At 47.2% G+C, this 8,498-nt stretch overlaps 2 annotated features.

Annotated features, from left to right (window-relative positions):
• Positions 3,541-4,056: an enhancer, noted in NCBI's record as "H3K4me1 hESC enhancer chr11:112748461-112748976 (GRCh37/hg19 assembly coordinates)". NCBI's record gives its function as "activates a minimal SCP1, AML or CMV promoter by ChIP-STARR-seq in naive H9 embryonic stem cells {active_cell/tissue: H9 hESC(naive)}" and the evidence as "EXISTENCE:reporter gene assay evidence [ECO:0000049][PMID:30033119]".
• Positions 7,545-8,045: an enhancer, noted in NCBI's record as "H3K4me1 hESC enhancer chr11:112752465-112752965 (GRCh37/hg19 assembly coordinates)". NCBI's record gives its function as "activates a minimal SCP1, AML or CMV promoter by ChIP-STARR-seq in primed H9 embryonic stem cells {active_cell/tissue: H9 hESC(primed)}" and the evidence as "EXISTENCE:reporter gene assay evidence [ECO:0000049][PMID:30033119]".

The following is an 8,498-nucleotide window of genomic DNA, read 5'->3' on the forward strand; positions in this document are numbered from 1 at the left end:
TGGGGTTCCAATAGAACTGGGAGACCTAGGGAGTCTTAGGCCTTCAAGAATCTCCCTAGTCTTATCTTTTGTATGTTGAGGTTTCACAGAAAATTTCATAATTTATTAATTTATTTTTATGTTTATTTATTTGTTTATTTTGAGATGGAGTCTCACTCTGTCTCCAGGTTGGAGTGCGGTAGCAAGATCTTGGCTCATTGCAACCTCTGCCTTCCGAGTTCAAGAGATTTTCCTGCCTCAGCCTCCCAAGTAGCTGGGATTACAGGCGCATGCCAGCACGCCCAGCTAATTTTTGTATTTTTAGTAGAGATGGGGTTTCACCATGTTGGCCAGGATGGTCTCGATCTCTTGACCTCATGATCTGCCCCCCTTGGCCTCTGAAAGTGCTGGGATTACAGAAATGAGCCACCACACCTGGCCAAAATTAAAAAGAGTTTTTTTTGAAGAAGAAGAATGAGTATAAAGACAATAGGTTTTAACATCAGAAAGGCCTAAGTTGCGCTTTTGATTCTGCAGCTTATTAAAGTCTGTAAGCCTCCATTTTCTCATAAGTAAAATAGGGATGATACCCTGTACATCTCCAAGTCGTAGTAAGAAGCAAATGAAATAGTGTGTGAATGTGCCTGGCAGAACGCTTGCTATGGAATACATATCCAGTCAACTCCACCCTTCTTCCTTGTCTTTTCTTCCATGACATCCACTACCCAGGAACCGCAGAAACGGCCGTGGGTTTCAACGGGTGCTGACTGCCCCTAAACAGAAAATGATGTTTCCATGGTCTCTCTCACCATCAGTTCAATAAGACAGAAACATCCAATTTAATAAGCCAAAAAGCCTCTGACCACACAAAGCAGCCATCACAAAGCCCTGCCTCTGTTAAACCCAGCAGCAGACCCCTTCAGGATGTCATTGAGGGCCTCACTGATTCATCTCGAATGTATCAGCTCAGGAAGTGGGTCTTATAGCTCCCAGCGCTGACAGCAGCACACACAGAAACAACCCAGCAGAAGAAAGGCAGCAAGGCTGTTAGAGGTAGATATCCTCACAGCAAGGGCAGTGGAAGCTGATCTGACGTGAAGAGAGGAGTTGGAGCAACTAACAAGCAGGTGCAGATAGATCACAGCTCAGTGAAATGATGATCAGTAGCCTCTGTTTAAGGAGGAAGGAGAGTGTGTAATGTGTTTTTGAGAAATGTCTACTAAAAATGATTGAGTTTTTTAAAGAAATGAGTTTGGCTCCTGAAAGGATAGGATTCCGTTATCGAGTTAGTTTGTGTAAATTCTAAAAATGCACAGATAAATGAGGCGTCACTCCACTTAAACTCAGTCCCTAGACTTGTGGGGTCCATTCCAGGCAGTGGATTGAACGGGAACAAGACTATTATTGGTTGATCTCTGGCAGAGGGGAAGATGCCAGGCTTCTTGAAGAAGTTCCCTACAGCAAAACCTAGCAATAGGGACAACCCTCTGGAACCGAGTGAGGGAAGGAGGGTGGGGAGACATCCAAGCTTGAAATGGCAGATGGTTTAGTCCAGAGTAAAGTGTGATTCATTAGTTTTTATGTATCTTCAGTGAACAGAGATGGGAAGAAAGGTGCAAGTGTCAAATCACTCATTTAATTATTTTGTAAAACTCTTCTGAGGGTCCTGAGTGGTTGCAACATAGACTATCATGTATCCACAGGTGTGAAATTGCTTTGGAGCAGGGGCTTCAGAACAACAGTCAGTCCATGAGGACTGCTGAGGGTGTTAGGGTCAAAGTGCGTCCCCTGACTTCCCAAGGGGTGGAGCCCACACACCTGAACACAGTTTGCAAAGGAGCCTTGCAGCTGCCCACACCCCTTGAGGTGGGGAGACCCAGTGGCTTTCCCCTAGACTTGGTGGAGAGCAATCTTGGCTTCCAACACTCTAGAAGAGCTGCCACACCACATTAGACACACATTTGTCCCTTGCTGGGAACAGTTTGGGACAATAGTTCTTCTTTGTTTGAGACCCACCCCAGTGAGAAACTAATCAGGGCTGGGGTAGCGGGGCATGGTGGAGTCTTGATCCAAATGTGTGAATGCCCAAAATTTGCATTTAATTTCAGGGAAGCCCCAATCTTCTTGAAGCCCTGGTCAAAAGGCCTTTCCAAGCCCAGCATCAACGGCTTTCCAAGTCCTCTTGGCTTCCACTCTGATCAGCTTTCTTATTCCCTGTCCTGACCTTGTCAAAGGCTCCTCCAGCTCCCGCCTCTTGCCTGGCGGCTGTGGTCTCCATACCCTTGGCTGAAACTCTTAACCACTCATTAAGAATCTTCCACAGTGACATCTGGAGGGAACAGCGATTGCCTCCCTTTTCCTTACCCTTCTCCTTGGTTGAACTTCTGCGACACGTGGTTCTCTTCTTACAAGGAATGAGTCATTCTTGGGGAACTGGCCTAAGCCCCACAACCTTGCAGGGTCCCCAGACTCCCTGGTGGACCCTGAACTCACAGTCTAGCTCTCACGTACTCTCTTGCAGAGGGGTTTTACAAAAGTCATGGGTGTCCCTCTCTCCAGCCCCAGCTCCCCAGGCACTCTCAGTAAAGCCAGGCACCTGCAGCCATGTCAAACTCTAAGGGCCCTAGAGGGTTACCAGTGAGCATCAGTGAGCTACCTGCCCAGACACAGTGAGGCTGAGACCAATACACTGGGCATTCAACCCCACACCAGCAGTTCTCAGGCTCATTCACAAGGGGTTGTCACAAGTAATTTGTTACCTAAAGTGAGCACCAACATTTGCAAGTTGCTTGCTTTATCAAACAGTTTGGGAAGCAGAATAGCAAAGTTGTTTTGAGCAGACACTTAGGAGTCCAGCAAAGTCAAAATTCTGGCCCCACCACTAGTTGTTTTTGTGATCTTGGGCAAGTTACTTTACCTCTTTAGCTCTCAGTCTACCTGTTAGTAAAATGGCATTAAAGTGTCTGCCTCCTAAGGGTTATTGTGAGGATTAAGTGAGGCAAAATGTCAAGTGCTCAGCACAACATCTAGCATAGATGCTACCAATAAATGCTGGCTAAAGTTAGTGTTTGCATTCATACTTGGATTCATATATAGATATAAATTCAGCAGTCTCCCTGTAAAAACTGTACCTTCTTTCCCTTTGACAGGCTTTCCTACAGCAAGGGGAGAAAAAAGGTGAAATTGCAGGCTATACATAAAGAACTGAACCTAATAACAGCCTATCTTATTTTTGTCACATCTACAAGTGAGTTATCATCACTGATGCACTAATAGTATTTGTGGTGGTTATGGTTTATTATAATCCCTTATTTTTCCACAGAACAAATATAAATTATGAGAGAGAGAGAGAGAGTGTGTGTGTGTGTGTGTGTGTGCGTGTGTGTGTGTGTCTTTCCTCCCTCATTGTGGCTACACTCAGAGCGTGTGTCTCAGGCACAAGCCTCATCTGCCAAGGATGTAGGGCAGACGGAGGCTGACAACAGCAACACACCTGTGATCTCTGTGTGTCCCTCTGTAAGGCCTGAGCCATGATGTCCTGCAGGTAGGGGGAGGAGGCTGCTCAGGATGCGGAGTGGGCCGCTGTCCCCGGCAGCCAGCCCCAGGCCCTGCTGGCCCCGGCAGAGCCAGGCCATACCTCAGCTGCTGTCTCCCATCTGATGAATATGGAGGAGCCTTCACCCGGCTCTGATTGCTGTTGGGCTTTGTTTCTCTTCGCTGCTTCCCTGCTCTCTGATCGGATGTCACTCTTTTTATTATTATTATTCCCTCTGTGTTGACAAGTGATTTAAACACTTCCCGGCGGGGGGGTGGGGAGAAAGGGTGGGGGTGGGTGGGGAATCTTTTCTTTGAATCCAGGGTGTTCGTTTTTCAGATTAGCAAATAAATGACTATGGGTGTATAATTAAAACTAATAGGTTAATTAGAGAACATTTAGATCTTTCTGAAAAAAAATAATGAAAGCCCAATGACTGTCTCTTTCTGAGACAAACTGTGAGTGTATTAGGTAAGGCTGCATGGGGAGACGGCACACTTACAGTCTACTCTGTCCCTTCCTTCAGGACCACATGATCATTGTGAGTGGCTGGGTAACCCAGGCCAGGCACTCCCCACAGACCTGAGGAAGAGGACCCCGGGAAGCAGAGGCAGGTTTTCCTCCAGGGAGGCTGGCAGCTGCTGGGGTAGCCAAACTGTCCCTCCCTGTCTCTCTGAGCTCCAGCTCTCACTCTGTTCTCTCTCCTCTCTCTCTGCCCCTTTTTGCTCAGCTGTGACTGTCACTCAGCCTGAGCCAGTCTCGCTGTTCTCCAGACAATGGGATTTGAGAGAGTGTCTCTGCTGTGTCTATGCTGCGACAACCTTTTCTGGCAGTGGAGTAAGCGGATGTGAGGCGGGCAGCAGTGCAGGGAGGAAAAGCCCTGAAGATGAATTACGTCCACTTCAGCAGGCTGACCCTCTCGGGCAGGAGGGCTTTGGCCTGGGAAAGTGGCCTTGATCAGAACTCTTAAGAGTGCCCCGCAGATCACTTGAGGTCAGGAGTTCGAGACCAGCCTGACCAACATGGTGAAACTCCATCTCTACTAAAACACAAAAATTATCTGGGTGTGGTGGTGGGCTCCTGTAATCCCAGCTACTCAGGAGGCTAAGGCAGGAGAATCGCTTGAACCCATGAGGCGGAGGTCACAGTGAGCCGAGATCATGCCACTGCACTCCAGCGTAGGTGAAAGAGTGAGACTCTGTCTCAAAAAAAAAAAAAAAAGATGCCCCACATTCTACTCACCAAGCCCAGGATGTATGGGATGCAATGGGACAGGGATATGTGTGCAGTGTTTCATCCCCTCTGGCTGCGGCAGGGCCCGGAACTAGGCAATGCGGAGGGAAACCTGGCTGCCATGGACAGGGCCTTCTTCCTGGAATGACATATCTGGAAGTGAGCTTGAGATGTGCCCTGGAACCCTGCTGGCTTCAAGGCCTGTTGTGATGGACAGCGGAAGGGCCCTGATATGGGTGGAATCATATCCCCCCAAAGAGGATATGTTGAAGTCCTAACCCCCAATACCTCAGAAGGTGAACTTCTTTGGAAATAGAGTCATTGCAGATGTAATTAGTTAAGCTAAACTGAGGTCATACTAGAGGGAGGTGGGCCCCAATCCAATGACTGGTGTCCTCAGAAGAAGAGGAAACAGATACAAAGCAGATGACCATGTGATGATAGAAGCACAGATCGAAGTGATGTTGCCACAAGCCAAGAAATGCCTACAGCTCCAGAGGCTGGAGGAAACAAGAAAGAATCCTCTTCTACAGACTTCCAAGAAAGCACCGTCCTTTCGGCACCTTCGTTTTGGACTTGTAGCCTCCACAACTGTGAGAGAGTAAAATTTCTACTGTAAGCCACCTGCTCTGTTGAAATTTATTATAGCAGCACTAGGAAACATACAAGCCTTCAGCAGTCACCTGAACTAGTGACTAGTAAAATCTCAGGTTCAGTCTGGAAGTGAAATCTCAAATCAAATACTTAGAAGAAAATCACTGGGTCTCAGAGTGATCACTCAGGCTATTATATCATGGAAGGTTCAAGAAGCCAGACCCCAGCCCCATCCTTGCAGTATCTCATTGTGCAGTTCGACACTCAGCAGATTTCATATTCAGATACTCAGATTTCCTTATTTTCTGAGATAGACATTCTAAACCCTGAATGAGAGGGACTATCTCAGGAGTTCAGAGAAAAGGAGATAGATTAAATCTTTTTCTTTCATTGTCCCATTTTTACCAATAACAATTGTGATGCCTATGAATTATGGAGTGTTTACCATGTGCCATGCAGTGTCAAACACTTTATAAGGATTTTCTCACGTATGGCTGCCCTTAAGTGAGCCCTGAAGCTCCTGGGATCCACAAAAGAAGATGCCTGCACATATCACAGGCACGCACCAACCCATGTTAACACTGTGGACGGTGAGTGTAGGGCCATGGAATTCAAGTCTTTTCAAAGTTTTGCACAGGGCCTTGGAATTCAAGTTTCTGCTGCCAGTATTTCCCTCCACATATATCCATGTATTTGTCCTTGTTCTCATTTTCCATAGTTATTTTTTTAACTTGGTGTTACTTTCACAAAATTAAAACAAACAGTAAGCCTACCTGGCATGACAGAAAGTCCAGAAAAGACTAGAAAAGTACCAGGAACCCAAGGCACAGTCACACCAGCTCAGCTGTTCAAATCCCATTAAAAATAAATGATCTAAGAAGTACTCTCTGGGGGACCCCTACTCAAACAGAGGGGGAAAGAGAGCAGGGAGTACAGGAATATCTCTGTGAATAAATGACAAACATCATCACCTTCCTATGCTTCTGCAGGAGTGCTGACCAGAAGAGAAGAGAGAGGTGGGAACAGGAAACCTTCTTTCTAGTCATCACCCTCACTTGGCATGTACTGTGGTTGTCACCCCCTCAAGGCCTGTCCGGTGCAGGAACCAGTCAGGAAACAGACAAACCCCACTCTGGGAGTAAGCAGAACTAACATTTCCTGGAAACGAGGTCAGGTGTTGATTTTCTAGTCCGCAGAGTTTAACTTAGTAGACTGGCCTCCCTTGTCCTCCATATACATTCCCCCACCAGCCACAGTGGTAGCCATACTACTTCTTCATCTAAGGTGTCTGCAAGCTCCCTCTGCATAAGACCTGTGGTCTCAGCTAAGTCATTTAACCTCCCAGCCAACGTTTTCCTTTTCTGCAGAATGTAAAATGTGAAGCAAAAAAAAAAAGTAAATTATGTCAGAGTTTTCAGGACAAATGAAAAATGCCTATTAATGTAGGATTAAAATTGTATACAGAATCATTATAATGTGTGAACTGTTGGCGGCTTCAATGTGCAAATAGTAACAATAATTATTATCACTATAGACTCCCAAATATCCCTGCAGCTGCTGGAATAGTAAAGAACATTTCCAGGCTGCTAAGGGCAGGAGAGCCACTCATTCTAACTGCTAGTCCTTCCTAATTTGACAGCCCAGCCTGTAACCTACATTTTCAATTTGCAGAAAAAGAAAAATACAGGTCTAACCCCAGGAGAGAAACCAAAGTAAAAAAGAAGTGAAGATAGAGGACTGAATTTAGATGGTTTGCTTTTCTGCCTTGAGTTAAAGGTGTCAACTCCAGAGAGCAGGTGTATCAATGGTGGTTTTGTCTACCCGACAGAAAGATTGTGTTAGACCCCTATTGACCCGTAGCTAATCCCCTTCCCAGGCAGGTCTAGCGAAGGACTGTTTGTCTAGGGCTCTGAGCATTTTCTGCACCTTGAGGTTGCAGCACACAAGGACCAGTCTAGAACGACAGCCACCACCCTGCTTTCCCTGCCAGAAAGCTAGCAGGAAACGCCTAAAGGGAAGGGATTCATTAGCCTCGCTCTGCTGCCTGGGGAGCCAATCACAGGAGCCTGTTCGGACAGACAGCCAATCACATCGCTGGACAGGACAGGGCCCAATCGTCTTGCTCCCCCATCCAGGCCATTTCGTCTGGAGCCTCCTCCCGCGGTGGGCTTGTTTCCCAGCCCTGCCAGTCACTCGCGAAAGCTGCTGGGGAGGGGACGCTGCGAGCCCCGACCCGAGCCAGGCCAGCTTGGGGAGCAGACTCTGTTTTATGGGCTTCAGAAGGGCAGAAGGGCGGGACAGCGAGACTGATGGGAAACACCCAGGGCAGAGACCAACTCCAATTCATCAATTCCACAAATACGTGTTTACTGGGCACCGTTTCTGTGGCAGGCACTGGGAAGAAGGGCACAATCCCTACCCTCAAGGAATTCAGAGTCCAGTGGGGGAGACGGAAGTAAGGAAATGCAGTACTTCTATGAGCGTGTGATGAGAACCAAGCAAGAGAAATAAGATGTTTATGAGCAGGTGACAGGGCGACAGGGCGCTACCTAATGGGTCGGGAGACCCCCCCCCCCCACCCCCAGAGGAGTTGCAGTGACCCACAGTGGCAAATCACAGACCAAAAGCCCCTGCATGGGGGCTGGAGACCCTCACCACCCCCTACCCATCTGTACTAGTTGACTAGGGTGTCCTAACCAAGGACCACAGACTAGGTGGCTTGAACAAGGAAAATATATCTTCTCACTCTTTTGGAGGCTGCAAGTTGAAGACGAACGTGCCAGCAGGGTTAATTTCATCTGAGCCCTCTCTCCTTGGCTTGCCTTCCCAATGTGCCCTCACATAGCCTTTCCCTCTGTAAGCATGTCTTTATCCAAATTTCCTCTTCTTATAAGGACACAAGTCATACTGGGTTAGGGCCATTTTACCTCTTTAAAATACAGTCTGTCTCTAAATGCAGTCACATGCTGAGGTACTGGGGATTGGAAGTTCAACATACAAATTTTAGGTGGAATACAAGTGAGCCCATAACACCATTATTTTCCACAAATATTGTGAAGCTCCTATTTAGCCACTTCCTCCCCCAAAGACCACAGTGACCAGGGGTTTTCTGTCTTCTAAATCTCCTGTACTAAGTGCCTGTTTACTCAGACTTAGA

This window comes from Homo sapiens, chromosome 11 (assembly GCF_000001405.40).
Source record: "Homo sapiens chromosome 11, GRCh38.p14 Primary Assembly".
NCBI lineage: Eukaryota > Metazoa > Chordata > Mammalia > Primates > Hominidae > Homo > Homo sapiens.